Below are 18,379 nucleotides of genomic sequence, written 5' to 3'. Positions count from 1 at the left end.
CACTGTCCCCAGGACTCCCAGACTTAGACAGGCAGATCGGCAGGGGGTCCCTCCCGCACCCCCCAGGATGGGGCCCACCCGGAGAGCATGTAGGTGGGGGTGCCGTCTCCAAGACCCAGGCCCATAGGGCTCCTATACCAGCCTGGAGGGGACGGGGAGGTAACAGGTACAAGCCCCTCTGCCTCAACCACCCACTGGGACACCTGTGAGCTGGGTGAGATCAGCAGGTGGAAGATGCTGCGCGGGGGGCGCTGGGAGGAGAGTGGGGCGCCTTTCAAGTGGGGCTACCGGACCTCTCTCCCCCACCTGCTGACACCCCCTGCAGAGGCCACTGCTGGAGAGGAAAAACGCCACCCCAAGTCTCCTGCTGTTTGCTGTGGGGAGGGGACGGTGCTGACTGCCAGCACGGTCACCTGGCGGGCGGAGCCTGCACGGGGAGAAATCTGGGCGAGGCTGTGTGTGAGCAGGTGGGGCAGGGAGGGCTTCCTGGAGGAGGGGGCCTGACTTCCACAGCACAGGCCAAGGTACAAGGGCTGGGCCTCTCGCCTCATCTGGAGCTCACTGAGGCCAAGCCCTTCAGGTCTCTGGGCTCTCTCACCCGGGTGCCTGCCCAGGCAGCCCCTCTCCCTCAGCCCTGGGCCCTGTGGGAGGAAGAGGTGTGTGTGGCGGGGGCGTGCGAGGGCACCCCCAGCAGGTGGGATGGACTCAGGCGGTCCCCCCTGCTGTCTGGTGGTGGGGGGAGCTGCATGTAGGCAGTGGCCAGGCCCCAGCCCATGCTGGTGACCCCGGAGAGAGGGTACTTATCCCCGTTTTGCAGACAGGACGCCGAGGCCCGGGAAAGCCCAGGCCCTGCCACGTGATTCAGCTCCAAGCCTTAGCACGGATGGGTCCTCCTGCCCTTTCTCCTGCAGCCCCGGGACCGCCCAGGGAGCAGGGCAGCTGCTGTGATTTGGGAGAGGCCGTGCTGCGATAGGCTCATTGCTGACCGGACCGGGCCCCCCACCAGCTCGGAGCCCCACTGCCGGGCAGCAACGATTCCTCTGCCCACCTGGCCCCTCCCAGAGGGGCAGACCCTGACCCTGAAAGGTGGGCCTGAGAGCTTCCAGAACCTTCTCTCCAGCACAGGATGTTCCAGAGAAAATGTCACCTCCTGTCACCACGGAAGCCATGTTGTTCGTTAGGAGCCGCCGGTCACCACGGCGACAACCAGGGCCCGACTCTCATTCTTTGGGGCCATTAAAATTCACCCTGGGTGCTGTTGCCACTGGGTCTGAGCAGCCAGGAACAGAGAAGAGGACCCAGCGTGGAGCCTCACCCGGGGGCTGCAGGCAGCTCATGTCCTGTGCACGCAGCCCCTCAAAGCTGCTCAAGAGCACCAGACGGTCTGGAGCAGTGACCTGCCGGGGGAACGAGGAACCGCCTCTCTGCAGTCCCCCTGGCATGGGGGGGCCTGGAGCCAGGCAGAAGCTGGTGAACTCAAAGGCCCCTGAGCCACGGGAGGCTCCTGGGTGGGGGCTTCACTCCCTGCCACCTGGGACACCATGGCCAGGGAGGGGGAGGGTGTGGGTGGGTGGCAGCTGCAGGAGGGGTGGCCTGGCACTGCCCCATCCCGCATCCAGGGCTCTGGGTGGAACTCAGACCCCGTGCCAGCCTCCGTGGGTGTGGGTTTGGGGTGAGGTCCCCGTGCCGTGTCTGCTCCAGCCCCACAGGGAGCTGCCGGCTGCTGTCACCTCCTGTGGCGGCTCATCACATGTACTCTCGGCCAGTGGCCATTAAGAGCCTTGGGAGATAATGGTCCCTCCGCGCCGGCCGCGCACTCAGGCCTCATTATTGCCCAGGCCCAGGCAGCGCTCTGGCATGTCCCCTCGGGGAGGGGGTGGCTGATGAGAAGCCGAGGGTTGGGGCACGGGGGAGGGGGCCTGGAAGGAGTCGCTGAGGCTGGCTGGTGGCACCAGCCTGGGAACACGGAGCCAGGCGCTGTTCCGAGCACAAGGCAGGTTCCAATGTCAGGCCTCACGTGCACTTTACAGCTGGGGACACTGAGCCCAGGGGTCCCTGCGCCCACTGTGCTCCCACGTCAGGGCCAGGCTGATGGCTGCAGCAATGGGGGCGACTCCCCGGCTGGAGAGGGGCCAACACCCCCGCCCCCAATTTCCTGACCTCCCCACTCCCCCACGTGCAGGCAGACCACTGGACTAGGGCACGCGGGGGCCGCCCGCCTTGTGCTGAAAAAGGAGGCCCAGACTTTCGCAGTCTAGTAGTAAAATCCTGAAACCCAGGGATGGAGCCCTCCCCACTTTCTGGGTGGACCCCAAACGCCTTCCTTTAGAAAGATCATCCACTCCTCTCGGGGGCTGAGTGAGCCCAGGCGTCCAGGAGCCCCCAGTCTGTACAGCAGGGAGCTGAAGGCTGGGAGAGAGGGGTGGAGTCGGGGGTCTTGCTGAGGCCCCCTCCCCCAGTGCCTGGCACCTCCACCCGCACCTCACTGGCACAAGCGCCCCGCAGCACGGAGAGGGGGCGGCCCTCCCGGGGCCCGCCTGGGACGCTGCTGGGTGTCTGTGGGGGGTGGGCCCCAGGGCACCCGGCAGCAGCCGCTCCCCCGTCGCCACGGCAATGCCGCGGTCATGCCTGGCCAGGGCTATTTCTGTCCAGGAGACATGCTGTCCTGCCCCACTGAGTCACCCCCCGCGCTCCCTGCCCACCCCACTCAGGCCTGGCCTGCAGCTTCTGTGCCACATAGTTCAGGCATCGGCCCTGCCAGCCGCCTGCCCAGACGGACTCTCCCCAGGACGGGTCATCCCGGGCCACCCGAACCCAAGGGACCCAAAGGCACCCTTCCCGGGCCGTTCACCCACCCCTCAGCCTCCCTCCACCCTGCTCTGTGCGTGGGGAGGCTCTGGGACCTGCCCTCAAGGGGGACTGTCAGGAACATGCCTCTCTTTTTAGGGGGCAGTTCTGCTGGCGTCGGGGGGCACTGAGGGGCACAGGGTTCCCTGTGTCTAGGCCTCAGGGACGCTCTGGATACTTCTGAGCTCCATGGGTGCCCATTTCACGGGCATGGGAGGCTGAGGCTCAGACCCAGGGCACAGCAGAGTGTGGGCGTCCGCCCGTCTTTCTCTGCAAGCCCCAGGAGCACACTGTCCCACTGGGACACATCTGCAGAGCTGTGTTCTCGCCGCCCAGGGCACAGCCACGCTGAGCCGGCTCGGTCGGATGCAGGTGCCATAGTCACAGGCGCTCAGGTCTTCACACCCCATCTGTGTCACCACAGCCAACAGGGTGAAGATGGCTGTCCCCAGAGGGGGCCGCTGGGCCTAGTGGGTGCCGCTGCCAAGGGTGAGCTGTCACCGCCCAGGGCCACCTGGAGGGGGGAGCCTGGAACCGGCTACAGCTGGTGCGGTCCCCACCACAGCCCTCCCCAGCCCGTTGCCCGCAGCCTGGCACACGAAGCTCCCACAGGGGGGACCCCTTGGTCTCCCCTCACCTCCTGTCCTCCTTTCCTCCTCGGTCTTTAGCATGGGGGTGCTGAGGGCCAGGCCAAGCTGAGGGGCTGCGGGGAGAGCGGGACCCCAGGTCGCACACAAATCTGCCGAGGGGACTGAGCCAGCTCGGGGCCCCTCCCCGCCCACAGCCTGCTTTCAGGCAAGGCCGCCACAATTCTCCTGCCACGTCCAGCACCTCCCACAACAGGGGCCGGCTTGTGGAGGAAGGACCTGTGGGGAATGGCCGCGTGTCCGTGTCCAGAGGCCCAGGGTCGGAGCGGGACAAGGCCAAGGTGCTGTGTGGGCTTGGCCTGGGGCCCACAGAGAATGGAGCCCCCGCCCGCTGAGGCCTGGGAGGCCTAGAAGTCATTCCCGCGAGTCGTCCGGCCCAGTCCTTATCCGCTGAGAGGCGGGGCTGGTGCGGGGCCTCCCCAGGGGTGTCATGAGGGAATGAAGAGACCCCACGGAGCCTGGGGAGGCTGCGCTCCTGGGCTCCATCCAGCCTGGCTTCCCCGCCAGCAGCATGAGGGCTGTGCGTCACCCGGTGGCTTGGTGGCCATGGGGGCCCCGTGCAGCATGGAGGCCCTGGTCTGGGCCCCGAACACGGGCCTCGGCCTACAGCCCCCCCGCCGGGCCCGCCCAGCCACAGCTTCCATCTGCCTGCTTCTCCTCAGGGCGCCGCACCCCAGGCGGGCAGCAGGCTTGGTTTCCCGATGGAGGAGAGCTGCGTGCCCACGGCACCATCCCCCAACCCAGCCGGCCAAGACGCCGGGCCCCAGCCCCGCTCATGGGCACGGGGCTGGCAGGAGGACCCTGGGGCCGCGAGGCAGGCTTCGCAGTGGACACAGGGGCCCTGCCAGGATCCTGTCCAGGGCTCGGCGGAGCTGGCCTCTCGGCCTGTTGCTCTTGGACAGCCCAGAGGAAGCCACGGGCGCCCAGGCGGGCATGAAAGGGCTCTTTGACGGCTGGGTTGCTGGGACAGTAACACAGACGGCCGGCCAGGCAGGGAGCATCCCTGAGACGGTAACAGGAAGCACAGGGCCTGGGGCTGGTTGTGGGAGTCTTCACAGCCGCCCTGGGCAGGTCGGGCTCCCCCTGAACCCCAGCGGAGCATGATCCAGCCCTGATTGTCTGCCAGGCAGGGCCAGGGGCTGGGACGGCCGGGAACTCCGTGGGGGCTCCTGCAGGCCTCCGTGCATGCACACACCCACTCCTGCCAGGCTCCCTCTGCCGGAGGAGTCCAGGGGGGCTCTTGTGGTGTCCAGTGGGGCCAGGGGGTGAGTCAGGGTCTGCTGAGCTCATGGGGAGGCAGGCAGAGGGTGTCTCAACTGCCAGAGACATTCCACCCACCTGGAATGACCCACTGCAGGAGGAAGGACCTTGCCCTGTGCTACAATCCCAGAGGGCTTCCTGAAGGAGGCAGCCTAGATCTTTGTCCAGCAGAGCCCATCTTCAGGGAATATTGAGGATCCCGACCCGTGCACCTGCCCTAGCGGAAGACACTCCTGGCCAAGCCTCCAGATGTGGCTGTGAGGGGAGTGGGGTAGGCAAGGCCCACCTGGCAGGGGGGCCAGGCTTGTTGGGGCAGCTGCTGTTGGGAGGGGGCCTACCTTGCTCAGGGGGACCCAGGTTGGCTCTGGCTTCCCCTCGGCACCAAGGTGGGACCATCCTTCCCTAGTCTGGGGGAGGCAGAGGAGTGGCCTCCCGAGGCCCCTGCAGGCCCTGCCCTGGGGGCTCCGGACGAGAGGCTCTCTGGGCCTGGCTGAGACGGTGCCTCTGTGCACTGTGCAGGGCCCCCCACCCCAGGCCAGCCTTGGGGGGCCTTTCCCTGGAGCAGACCAGCCACCACGCCCCAGGGCTCTGCCCAGCCACAGTGGGTGGGGCCTTGGGCGGCTACCCGCTCCTGAGTTTAGAGGGCTGTCTCAGAGACCTCTGTGTCCCACAACGGCTTCCCCACCATCTGCCGGGTGTGGGGGCCCCAGCTTTGGGGACCAGGACTCCCCGACTCCAGGTGTGCAGGGTGCCTGGTGCGGCCCAGAGTGTAGCAGCCCCTGAGCCTCGGCCTTGGCCTCACCCACTGGGCCAGGACCGTCCGTGCCCAGGCAGAAGCTCCCGCCTCCACTGGCTGTATTCCCAACGGGGGCAGGGCCGGGCTGCCGTAGGGTCTGGGGGCTCCAGCTGGGGCACCTCCTTCTCAGTCCCTCCCCTCTTTCCTCTCCCCCAGCCCTGGCCAAGATGGCAGCCCCCGCCCTGCTGCTCCTAGCACTGCTGCTGCCCGTGGGGGCCTGGCCCGGGCTGCCCAGGAGGCCCTGTGTGCACTGCTGCCGCCCGGCCTGGCCCCCTGGACCCTATGCCCGGGTGAGTGACAGGGACCTGTGGAGGGGGGACCTGTGGAGGGGGCTGCCTCGAGTACGGCCCACTATAGACATCGAAATCCTCAAAGGTGAGGCCCGTGGGTGCTGCCTGCATGCTCCCCCACCAGGACCCAACAGCCCACAGGGAGTGGGGAGCACCTGGGGCTTGGGAGGAGGGGCGGGAGGGGCACGCTGAGCACCAGTGTCTGCCCTGGCAGCGCTCCCTGCACAGGGACCCCTGGGCTCCCCCCGCAAGCAGGAAGAAGCCTGGCTTGGGGAGGGACCCATGAACCAAAGTGGGGTGCTGAGGATCCTGGGGAAGGGGGCCAGGGTTCCTGAGATCCCCAAAGTAGCAGCCCCTTGGGAAGGGAGCCTGGGCAGCCCGCTTGCTCTGAGACCCCTTGACACGGCTGCGCTGTCCCGAAGGCTGTACTAAGGTTAGGCTTGGGTAGGACCTTCCCAGCCTTCTCATTCTTTAACACCCAACGCAGACCGTAGCTGGCCCTGACCACCCATGTCCCCACCCTCTCGGTGGGGACGGCCTTGCCACAGGCCTTGGTCTAGCCACACCTTTGGAGAACGGCTTCTCCCCATCTTACAGACGTGGACGCGGAGACTGGGAGAGGGGCCGTCACTTGCAAAGAGTGTGTCCTTACAGTGACCCTTGAGCCCCAGCCCCTGGCCTGGGTGCTGGAATGGGGGAGGCCTGCCCAGCCCGGCCCCGACCCGTGGCTTTCGTTTGTCCCCTGCAGGTGAGAAGGGTGAGGCCGGCGTCCGAGGTCGGGCCGGCAGGAGCGGGAAAGAGGGGCCGCCAGGCGCCCGGGGCCTGCAGGGCCGCAGAGGCCAGAAGGGGCAGGTGGGGCCGCCGGGCGCCGCGTGCCGACGTGCCTACGCCGCCTTCTCCGTGGGCCGGCGCGAGGGCCTGCACAGCTCCGACCACTTCCAGGCGGTGCCCTTCGACACGGAGCTGGTGAACCTGGACGGCGCCTTCGACCTGGCCGCGGGCCGCTTCCTCTGCACGGTGCCCGGCGTCTACTTCCTCAGCCTCAACGTGCACACCTGGAACTACAAGGAGACCTACCTGCACATCATGCTGAACCGGCGGCCCGCGGCCGTGCTCTACGCGCAGCCCAGCGAGCGCAGCGTCATGCAGGCCCAGAGCCTGATGCTGCTGCTGGCGGCGGGCGACGCCGTCTGGGTGCGCATGTTCCAGCGCGACCGGGACAACGCCATCTACGGCGAGCACGGAGACCTCTACATCACCTTCAGCGGCCACCTGGTCAAGCCGGCCGCCGAGCTGTAGCCGGGTGAGGGGCCCCGCGGCTGAGCACCGGGCGCGCGCGCGCGTGTGTGTGTGTGTCTGTGTGTGTGTGTGTGGGGGTGGGTGTGGGTGTGTGTGTGTGGGTGGGTGTGGGTGTGGTGGGGTGGGCGGGCAGCGGAGCTTCAGCGCCGACTGTGTGCAGTGATTTGTTGAGCGCTGACTGTGTGCAGGGATTGGTTGAGCGCCGACTGTGTGCAGTGATTTGTTGAGCGCCGACTGTGTGCAGGGATTGGTTGAGCGCCGACTGTGTGCTGTGATTGGTTGAGCGCCGACTGTGTGCTGTGATTGGTTGAGCGCCGACTGTGTGCAGGGATTGATTGAGCGCCGACTGTGTGCTGTGATTTGTTGAGCACCGACTGTGTGCAGGGATTGGTTGAGCGCCGACTGTGTGCTGTGATTGGTTGAGCGCCGACTGTGTGCAGTGATTGGTTGAGCGCCGACTGTGTGCAGGGATTGGTTGAGCGCCGACTGTGTGCAGGGATTGATTGAGCGCCGACTGTGTGCAGGGATTGGTTGAGCGCCGACTGTGTGCTGTGATTGGTTGAGCGCCGACTGTGTGCAGTGATTTGTTGAGCGCCGACTGTGTGCAGGGATTGGTTGAGCGCCGACTGTGTGCAGGGATTGATTGAGCGCCGACTGTGTGCTGTGATTGGTTGAGCGCCGACTGTGTGCAGGGATTGGTTGAGTGCCGACTGTGTGCTGTGATTGGTTGAGCGCCGACTGTGTGCTGTGATTGGTTGAGCGCCGACTGTGTGCTGTGATTGGTTGAGCGCCGACTGTGTGCAGGGATTGGTTGAGCGCCGACTGTGTGCTGTGATTGGTTGAGCGCCGACTGTGTGCTGTGATTGGTTGAGCGCCGACTGTGTGCAGTGATTTGTTGAGCGCCGACTGTGTGCAGGGATTGGTTGAGCGCCGACTGTGTGCAGGGATTGATTGAGCGCCGACTGTGTGCTGTGATTGGTTGAGCGCCGACTGTGTGCAGGGATTGGTTGAGTGCCGACTGTGTGCTGTGATTGGTTGAGCGACGACTGTGTGCTGTGATTGGTTGAGTGCCGACTGTGTGCAGTGATTGATTGAGCGCCGACTGTGTGCAGGGATTGGTTGTGCCCCGACTGTGTGCAGGGATTGATTGAGCGCCGACTGTGTGCAGGGATTGATTGAGCGCCGACTGTGTGCAGGGACTGATTGAGTGCCAGCTGTGTGCAGGGATTGATTGAGTGCCGACTGTGTGCAGGGACTGGGCCATGTGGAGTGCTGGGTGTGTTGGGAGCAAGTCTGACCCGCACCTGCCCTCACAGGGGCTGGCGCACAGGAAAGGACCACATGAAGCCACATGGACGGAGGCCTGTGGTACTGGGTGTGCGGTGGGCGTAGCCAGGTGGTAGAGCGAGCTGGGTGCCTCCTCATGGGGTGGTCGGAGCCCGGTTGCTCACCCAGGTACTCGCCCTCACGGCCGAGGGGCCATTCTGCTTATAAAAGCTGTGCCAGGCACCCTTGCTGAGGAGACATTCATTCGACATTGCGTATTTGCCAAGCACCTGCCCGGTGTGGATGGACCCAGGGGAGGCCAAAAGGGTGGAAGGAAGACGGTCACTTCCAGGCGGTGTGAGGGGCACCCAGCACTCACGGTGGCCGGGAGGGTGGGGCTGCTCTAGTGGTGGCTTGTCCTTGGCAGGAAACACGCGGCTGAGCGCAGGGGGTCAGTTTTGGGGGCTCATGGGTCCTCAGTCTGTCTGAATGTGTGGGGGCTGGAGGAAGATTGGACCCTGATGGGCACCAGAGCCGGAGGAAGCCTCAGACCCCCACGGAGTTGCCTTATGCTTAGACAGGGATGAAAGTCAGGTCCACATGGCCTGGCTGCAGTTGTGGGGGCAGAGAGGGCCCCATTTGGGAGTGTGGGTGGGTCGGTCCCTCCAGGCAAGAGGCTGGCCCAGCTCTGGTCACTGGAAGCCTCTGTTACCCTCCCCGGCTGGAGCAGCTGTGGCCCCTCCCGGAAGCTCTCCCAGCCACGTGCTCACTTGTCTCTGGAACCACCTCCACCTGACCTGGGCCTCCCTCCCCCTCTTCCCAGCCCCTCCGGCCCAGCCTCCCACGCACCGCCTCCTCCTCCTTGGTGTGCTATTTGTGGCAGCGCGGCCACTGGGCCCGGGCAGGAGCAGCATCAGGAGCAGCTCAGCCATGCTGCCTGGAACCCTCACAAGGCCTTCCATAAAGCATCCCCGGGTGGGGGCAGGAGAGCCCCCACAGGTGCACCCAGCGTGGGCTCATGGGGGCCCATGGGTGCCGAACAGATGAAGGGATGCGGGGTCCCAGGTGCCCCCACGGCCCCTTGATCCTTGTCCACTCTGGGACATCCCGGCCCATGGAGTGCCCGGCTCGCCCATCCCCCTCTTTAGGGCCTGCCCTGCCCCCACTCCCTCCCCACAGGGGCCCCCACCAGTACTGACCAATCTCTGAGCAGCTGGGCCCACAGCCTGCCCCAGGAGGGTCTGTGAGAGGACAGCCCCCAACATCAGGGTGCACCCTGCAGGGTGGGGCCAGCCGAGGAGGGAGGTAGGAGGGCACGGGCTGCAGCCCCCAGGTCAGGGGGACCTTGTCTGTCCATCTGGCAGCACACACTGGCTGGGAGGAAGCAGCTGGGAACAGTGACCCTCCCTGTTGCTGTGGGGCCCCAGCCTGAGGGGCTGCTCAGTCATCCCCACCACCCACCACTGGGCCAGGCCTGGGGGCAACCGGCAGTGGGCGTCGGGCAAAGGAACCGGGGGAGGAGGGGGCAGGGTGGCAGGAGATGGGGGTCAGGGGCCATCTCCCAACACAGCCGCCGTTTTTGTGTGAAGACTCCGGACCTCCCAGCCCCACCCTCAGGAAGTGCCGTCCCCTCCTTACAGACAGACGTCCGCCTGTGGGGACTCTGGGAGCCCCGGCTGGCGCGCCCGCCTCTCCACTTCGCCTCACTCCTGTCCTGGGACAGAGGGTGCCCTGCCCTTGGGAGATGGTGCTCTGAGGCCCGGCCAGAGTCTGCAGAACCCGCGTGTGTGTGCTGGAGCCACTCCCCAGGCAGGCGGGGGAACAAGCGTGGCCCCCAACAGCGCAGGACAGGAGGAGGGGCGGCTACAGGGGCCCGCCATTTGCTGTGCACACATGGCCCCTCTGCAGGGAGAGGGGCTCTGTCCCGGCTGCGCCACCCCCACCCACTGCCCAAGCCTGCTGCCTCCCAAGTCGCCCGGCATCCACCTCTTTCCCTGAGGCTGTCCCTGGGGCCAGGCTGCCCCTCAGCACCCCCAAGTGGCCCCGTACTCAAGTCCCACCTTGTGTGTCTGTGGGGGGGCGGTAGCAGGGCTTCTGGAAGTGTGGTGACAACCAAGGACAGGAGGGGCTGGGGCCGGTGGCCGTGGCTGGTGAACCCTGGCCCTGCTAGAGACAGGAGGGGCACTGGCGCTGGGGCTGGACCCGGAACCTTCCCTCTCCTTCGCCCCACACTGAGGTGGGCGGGGCCTCAGGCTGCACTTTGGCCCAGGGCCTGAGTCTGCTCCTGGCTGGGATAGCGGGACACACCCAGGGCGCCCGGCAACCGGCAGGGGTCGGAGCCATCTCCGGGCACTCACGGGGCCTTGGCACAGAGGCTTCCGCCTTAGAGAGAAAGGCGCCCGAACAGGAAGGGGTGGGCCGAGGGGAGATTGGCAGACCCCAGGCCTCCCACCCCGACCGGGACACCCCCAGCCCTACCCCGTGTGCTGACGGCCGGTGGCGCTAAGAGGTGCCAGGAGAGAAGCCCACAGCCTGGTCCTGGCTGCAGCAGCAGGGCGCCTGGTCAGCACTCTGGGGAGCCTTGTGCTCACTCAGCCCGTTCCCAAGTGAGGACACCCAGTGCCACGCAGGCAGAGCCAGGCTGCAGCCACGTCCCGCCCACCCCACACAGAGCCCGTGTCCCTGCCAGCTCTGCCTGTCGCCTCAGCTTCCCGTGCAGCAGGGGGTGCGCAAAGGCCTCTGTCGGGGACCCCAGAGCAGCTGTGAGGGGCCCTGGGCTTGCAGGTCCCAAGTGGGCACTGCCCAGAGCCGAGCCCTTGGTGTCCAGGCCCCGGAGGACAGCTGCACGGCTCCAGGGGTTCCTGCTTGGGGGGATCCCCAGGAGGAGCCTGTTGGGGTCAAGTGTGGCAGGTGCTTGAAGAACCAGAGGTGGGGGGTATGGGCTGCTGGGGGTGGGGGTCCCGGCTGGCCATGCAGAGGTTCTTGGCCCCGGTGAGAGAGCAGGGCTGGATGGGAGATGGGAGCCAGGGGTCCGGACCACCCCAGGGCCAGGGAGGACATCTCCTCTCGCAGGCTGCCTGTTCTGTGCTGGGGAAGCACCCCAGAATCCCAGACAACCGTTCCTTTCCCTGGCCCTGGCCCTGGCCCGGCTGCCCTGGGGTCTCCAGCCTCTGTGATTCCAGTGAGCCTGTGCTGCCAGGGTGGCAGGTGGTCCTGAGGAAGAGAGTCCCGGGAAGACGCCAGCCCCTGCACCAGGGAGCTCAGAAAGTGCCCGTCACCAGGCCCAGCCAAGGACCCAGACGTGACCACAGCAGCCCCGAAGCCAGGCGCTTATTCCGAGGGACAGGCTGGACCTCCCCGCACAGACGTCGCCGTGGCCTATAGGTAGTTGCAGCTGCGGATACTAAGAAGCAGCAGGGGTCAGGCGGGCAGGGGTCGGGCTGCAGCAGGGGTCAGGCGGGCAGGGGTGCAAGGTCTCTTGGAAGCTGGCGGGGGTGTCTAATGAATGCCAGTGGCGACCCTGGTTCTCAGAGAACCGGGGTGGGGAGATGCCTGTGAGAGCCTCAGACAGCAGGACCTGCATCCCGCCAACCTTCCAGGTTTATTTGTTTAAAAAACAATGACTGAGAACTGAAAGTGAGATAAGATACGGTCACGATTCTCTGCCAAGTGATAAAAGCCTGAGGGACGCTGCCAGTGCCAGGTGGGAGCGGAAAGAGGGATGCTTGGTAGAGGCCAGAGACACGAAAAGCAGCGACAGCCTCGTGCTGCCCTGGCCACTTAGGAGACAAGGGGGAGCCACCCCATCAGAACCGCACCGGGCACCCCCGTGGTCGGCCCGTGCTGGCTTTAATCATGAGTCAACCGCACAGGAAGGGACTGGGGAACGCGGCTTCCCGCGGGGACATCCCTGTGACATTCCAGGCAAGCATCGGGCTGGGGAGGCAGCTTATCCCATGTAACTTTATCCGTTTAGTGGAATTCCAGTAAAAATCCAATTTTAAATGTTTAGGTGAAATTCATATTACGTAGAATTGAGCATTCGAGAGTGAACAGTTGCATGGCACTGCACACTCAGCCGTCACCTCTGTCTAGTTCCCAAACGGTTCCGTCCCCCCGAAAGAAACGGGCACCCCTCAGCAGTCACTCCCCGCTCCCCATCCACCCCCTGGCAGCCACTGTTCCTCTCTGTGTCTGTGAACGGCCCCGTTCTGGGCATTTCATGGAAATGGAGTCACACAAGTAATATTCTGTCCTGTGGATGGACCACATTTGTTTGTCCATTGTTTATTGATGGACACCTGGGTTGTTTCTACCTTTTGGCTATTATGGGTTATAGATAATGCTACTATGAACATTTCTGTAAACACTCCATTTTTTTTTTTTTTTTTTGACAAGGTCTTTTTCTGTCACCCAGGCTGATGTGCGGTGACACAGTCACTCACTGCAGCTTTGAACTCCTGGGCTCAAGCCGTCCTCCCACCCCAGCCTCTCAAGTCGCTGGGACTGCAGGCACATGCCACCACGCTCAACTAATTTAAAAATTTTTTTCTTGTAGAGATGGGGTTTCGCCATGTTGCCCAAGCTGGTCTTGAACTCCTGGGCTCAACTGATCCTCCAGCCTCGGCCTCCCAAAGTGCTGGGATTGTAGGCATGAGCCACCACGCTGGCCCAAATTCCATTTTTTAAATTTTTGTAAAAGCAGTGTTGAAGAGAACCTGAAAGAATGGATAGGATTCTAAACAATTTTAGCTCAGCTCAGTGGTGGGTGGAGACTTTCCCTATTAGATATCATAACACAGTGGCCACCAAGCAGACACCAGACTGCCAGAGCTCCTCGCCCCCAAAGAACAAGAGGGCGCCCCATATACCAGGAAATATACCAGGAAGGCAGAGGCAGCCACAAGGAGGGGTATTTTTCATTTGAAATTCATGTCGCCTGTAATCCCAGCACTTTGGGAAACCGAGGCGGGCGGATCACCTGAGGTCGGGAGTTCAAGACCAGCCTGACCAACATGGAGAAACCCCGTCTCTACTAAAATTACAAAATTAGCCGGGTGTGGTGGCACATGCCTGTAATCCCAGCTACTCGGGAGGCTGAGGCAGGTAAATTGCTTGAACCTGCGAGGCAGAGGTTGCGGCGAGCCGAGATCGCACCATTGCACTCCAGCCTAGGCAAGAAGAGCAAAACTCTGTCTCAAAAAAAAAAGAAAAAAAAATTCATGTCATGTGATAATACAAATTTCAGTTGAATGAAATAATTTTCAGCCATATAATCTTTAGAAACATGTGGGACCAGCTGGGCATAGTGGCTCACACCTGTAATCCCAGCACTTTGGGAGACTGAGGCAGGTGCATCATCTGAGATCAGGAGATTGAGACCAGCCTGGCCAACATAGTGAAACCCCGTCTCTACTAAAAACACACAAATTAGCTGGGTGTGGTGGGGGGCGCCTGTAATCTCAGCTACTGGGGAGGCTGAGGCAGGAGAATTGCCTGAACACGGGAGGCAGAGGTTGCAGTGAGCTGAGATTGCGCCACTGCATTCCAGCCTAGGCGACAGAGCGATACTCTGCCCCTCACCCCTCCACACACACAAAACCGCCACCAAAAGCCATGTGGGATTGTGGGATGTACGCCCATGTTCACAGCAGCATTACTCACTGTAGCCAGAAGGTAGCTGCTGTGGTCACAATGTGTCCCCAGAATTCCTATGCTGAAGCTGATGGTCACTGTGATGGTATTAAGAGGTGGGGTAGGCCGGGTGCAGTGACTCACGCCTGTAGTCCCAGCATTTTCGGAGGCCGAGGTGGGCAGATCACCTGAGGTCAGGAGTTCGAGACCAGCCTGGCCAACATGGCGAAACCCTGTCTCTACCAAAAATACAAAAATTAGCTGGGTGAGGCGGTGGGTGCCTGTAATCCCAGCTACTCAGGAGGCTGAGGCAGAAGAATCACTTGAACCCAGGAGGCACAGGTTGCAGTGAGCCAAGATTGCACCATTGCACTCCAGCCTGGGCAACAAGCGAGATCCTGCCACACACACACACACACAACCACCACCAACAAAACCCATGTGGGATTGTGAGATGTACACCCATGTTCACAGCAGCGTTACTCACTGTAGCCATAAGGTAGGTGCTGTGGTCGGAATGTGCCCCCAGAATTCCTATGCTGAAGCTGATGGTCACTGTGATGGTATTAAGGGGTGGGGTATTCTATGACAGCAGCAGGAGTGGACTCAGACTGTGGACACCGCCCAGGTGTCTGCTGATGATGAATGGAAAAACCAAATGTGGTCCACGCATGCACGGGGACAGTGGCCAACCTCAGACAGGGAGGAAATTCTGGCACGTGCTCCGTGGATGAGCCTCAAAGGCAGTGCGCCGAGTGAAATAATCAGTCACAAAAGGACAAATGCTGTCTGATTCGAATTGCGCGAGGCACCTAGAGGACTCAAATTCATAGAGACAGAAAGTAGAAGGGCAGGTGCCGGGGCTGGGGGTGGGAATAGGGAGTCGTTTAATGGGGACAGAGTTTCAGTTTGTGGTTTTGAGAAGAGTTCTGGAGATAAATGGGGGTGATGGTTGCACCACAGTGTAAGTGTCCTTAATGCCATAGGACCATCCACAAAAATGGTTATGGTGGTAAAAATCTGTCATACGTATTTTACCAAAATTTTAAAAAATACGTGGGGACATTTGGCTAATCTGTGAATGGGGAAAAACCTCCCACTGATAAAAAGCAGAATAATTTTCCAAGTAGATACATGATAGGTTGGACTTCATGAAAGTAAAACATTCTACTTTGTGTCAATCCTGAAACTAAAACATGGGACCCTAGGAAGGGCTGTCCCATAGACAGCAAAGGACGGCCTTCCTGCCCTGCAGGGGTCTTGCACAGATGGAGGAGGAAAACTTGAGAGGAAATAGAGAATTTGGAAGATACAGGAAGGAATGAAAAATCATCGTGGATTCACACCATCATGAGTGCCAGTGTCTAGATATTCTCGTGTGGCTTACAGGCATCTCCAAGCTGCCTGGTCACTACCATCGTCCGTGTCCCTCAGGAAACACATGGGCAGGGCCTGGCAGGGGATCACAGTAGGCAGACCCAGTGTACAGAGAGCTGGGCAAAGCCATAGCCAGGTGGACAGGAACAGCAGCCAGACCTCCCTCTCCTGTGAACCTCTCCCCACTGCACTGGCAGCCATGGAATCCTTGCCTCGCTCTAGGGAACTGCCCCCACCATGATTCCTGGAGGCAGAGTTAGGAGTGAGAGGACATGTCTGAGGGCACAGGCATGGCCAGCACTGCCTTCCTGAAGCTCCAAGCCCCCATGGAGGGAGGCACCCATGGGCAGGACCTGGGCACCAGAGTGCGGTGAGAGGCAGGAGCTCCGACTGGGACAAAGGCAGATCCTGGGCATCCCCTCACTCTCCGGCCACCCTCTCTGGGGCGATGAACATCAGAACAGGGACTCAGGTGGAGGGGCCAGTGTCTTCTGTTCCACAGCCCCATCTCACCCATCCCACTGCTCTACATGAGTTGCCGACCACTATAGACAAAACCAAGAGCTTCCAGCTGCGTTCGGCCACTGGAGAGCCCAGCAGGCCCCGGGAGGGAGAACTGGGGAGTCCAGCAGGCCCTGGGAGGGAGAACTGGGGAGTCCAGCAGGCCCTGGCTGTCTCTGCTCCACAGGTAGCCTCTCCTCTCCCAGCCGTCTCATCTCCGGGTTCTGAGGACCCTGCCCCAAACCTTGAACCTCTAGGCTGATAAAGCCAAGGTGTCAGCCAGGGCACTGTACTCCTCACTTCACAAAGGGCCTTTTTTTCCTTTGAGACGGGGTCTTGCTGCAGTGCAGTGGCATGATCAGAGCTCACTGAAGCCTCCGCCTCCCAGGCTCAAGCAGTCCTCCTGTCTCAGCCTCCCCAGTATGTGAGACGACAGGCATGCACCAGCACCACTGAATAATTTTTGTAGATTGTGTAGAGACAGGGTCTTACTATGTTGCCCAGGCTGGCCTCAAACCCCCGAGCTCAAGCTCTCTGCCTGCCTCAGCCTCAGCAGTTGCTGGGATTATAGGTATGAACCATTGCACCTGGCACCTGGTCCTGACGGTATCCTTGTGAGCCCTCCTCAAACCACACTACGTGATCACACCCGTTTCCCAGGACGGGGACAGAGCCCTGGGAAGCGTGGGTTGAGGAGTGGGAACCACAGAAGGCTCGTGAGCAGCAGAGGGACATGAACAGATTTGTGTTTGGGATAAAATGGGGCTGGAAGTGGAGGTGGGGTTGGGAGTAAGGAGGGAGACGTAGCCAGAGGCGGTGGCTGCTGTGGCCGAGCCAGGGTGGGGACAGAAGAGAATGAACCCAGGAGGTTGACTCCACCTAACAGCCTGCCAGGGGCCCTGGGCGGCTCCTGCCACCCACAGGAGTGCAGAGCCCGAGGTGGCTCCAGGCCTCCACGGGGCAGCGTGGCCAGCGCCCGCCTCTGCTGCACCCACAGCGGTTGCTTGTGCTGCCAAGACCCGGCCTTGGGAGGGCAGAGGGGCCTGTCCTAGGGGCAGTCTTCCCCCAGACTGCCTCCCTGAGACCCCACAGCTGGTCCCACTCCCCGTCCCCACCCCACCCACTCTCTTGGGGTCTCGTCTGGTGGGAGGAAACGGCTTCCCCGGGGCCCTGGGCCAGTGGCTGCTTCTGGGGGCCCCATGGCTGCCGGTCGCCTCTGCCCCCTTCCCTCCCCAGGAGGCCTTCCAGGTCCTCCACAGACCCCCACATCCCGCCCCAGGGCACCCCTGCTGATGGGGCTGGGTTGGGATGAGGGTCGGCCCGCTGGGGTCTGTCAGCATCCACGACGGCCCGGCCGCAGTTTCCCTCACTGTGGAGCTAACGACACCTCCTCCTGCCTGTGGGGGCTGCTTCTCCTTGGCCCCGTCTTCCCCACACCCACTCTGCCAGGCAAACAGATCCCTCCCGCCCTCCTCGTCCTGCCCGGGCCTGTTTCCTGAGCAAGGTCACTGGAGTCGCTGGAGCCCAGAGCCAATAAAACCCAGTGATGCGCGCGGGCCGGGAAGCCACCCCGCCCAGGATGTTTGCTCCGCGCCGCACCCCCCACCCCCACCGGGTTCTCCGGTGGCCTGCAAGGGGTCTCGGCTCCGCGGCCCCTGCCACCCACAGGCCCCCACTGCCCCGGGAGGTGAGGATGTAGGGGTCCAGGGCCCATGCTCCTTCCAGACACTCACCTGACCCCACCCGGCCTTTCATGCTGGTGCCCTGGGGGCATCCAGGCCTTGTCCTCTTCCCCGTGGCTCTGCCCAGCCTGGTCCATGGGCTGCCTGGGACCTCCCCAGACATCTTCAGCCCTCTCAGCCCACTGAGGCCATCAGACCCCGGGGCCTTGTCCTCCCACGTGCTCCAAGCAGGAACCAGCCAGGTGCCACTGCCCCCTTCTCCAGGCCTGGACAGGGGCTGCCCCTGCCTCGTGAGCACCCCTGGGGCCCCGGCCCCGGGCCAGGCCGCTGCGTGTTCTGGATGACTCACAGCTTCCGCACACTCCCTGTGTGTGCCTCTTCCCGCCTCTCGTCCAGTCTCCTCTCTCAAGCTGGAGTGAGCGCAGCTTCGTCCTTCCCTGGGGCAGCATGGGGGCAGAACTTGAGGGGCCTGGATCTGCTCCTCTCTCTGAATTGACCCCCACAGCTAACCCCCCTGTGCCCCTTTGCCTCTGAGCCCTCCCATAGGCTGTTCCCTCTGCCTGGAATGCTCTTCCGGTTCAACCTTGATCCCACGACCCAGCCCCATGCTGGTGCCCTGCAGGTGTGTTTGTCCGATGGAGACACGTGTTCAGGGCTCAGCCAGCCCAGGGGGTCAAGGGCAGTAAGTCCTAGGCCCAGCTGTGGGGCTGCCGTCATGAGCCCACCGTCCCCAGAAGGTCAGCGTGACAGCGTCCTGGGGGTCAAGGGAAGAAGAGGCTG

At 62.9% G+C, this 18,379-nt stretch overlaps 1 protein-coding gene across 5 annotated transcripts, besides 1 other annotated feature; it reads left to right on the top strand.

The window, feature by feature from the left end:
• Positions 1-4,333: 4,333 nt before the first annotated feature.
• Positions 4,334-12,414, top strand: C1QTNF8 (C1q and TNF related 8). 5 transcript variants are annotated; one of them, XR_001751901.1, is made up of 5 exons: positions 4,334-5,025; positions 5,707-5,925; positions 6,589-7,143; positions 10,046-10,630; positions 11,063-12,414. XR_001751901.1 is itself a non-coding variant. In NM_207419.3 (5 exons), exons 3-4 carry the CDS (start codon positions 5,718-5,720, stop codon positions 7,137-7,139), a joined length of 759 nt encoding a protein of 252 aa, NP_997302.2. In that variant the 5' UTR covers positions 4,396-4,484; positions 4,852-5,025; positions 5,707-5,717; the 3' UTR covers positions 7,140-7,143; positions 10,046-12,414. The 5 variants fall into 5 exon arrangements, 4 of the variants coding, with proteins under 4 accessions (XP_047290056.1, XP_047290055.1, XP_047290057.1 ...); NM_207419.3 differs by having other exon boundaries at positions 4,396-4,484; positions 4,852-5,025; positions 10,046-12,414; XM_047434100.1 differs by having other exon boundaries at positions 10,046-11,226.
• Positions 16,857-17,709: an enhancer, noted in NCBI's record as "H3K4me1 hESC enhancer chr16:1132931-1133783 (GRCh37/hg19 assembly coordinates)". NCBI's record gives its function as "activates a minimal SCP1, AML or CMV promoter by ChIP-STARR-seq in naive H9 embryonic stem cells {active_cell/tissue: H9 hESC(naive)}" and the evidence as "EXISTENCE:reporter gene assay evidence [ECO:0000049][PMID:30033119]".

This window comes from Homo sapiens, chromosome 16 (assembly GCF_000001405.40).
Source record: "Homo sapiens chromosome 16, GRCh38.p14 Primary Assembly".
Classification (NCBI taxonomy): Eukaryota; Metazoa; Chordata; class Mammalia; order Primates; family Hominidae; genus Homo; species Homo sapiens.
This window is presented reverse-complemented; position numbering and strand designations above follow the sequence as displayed.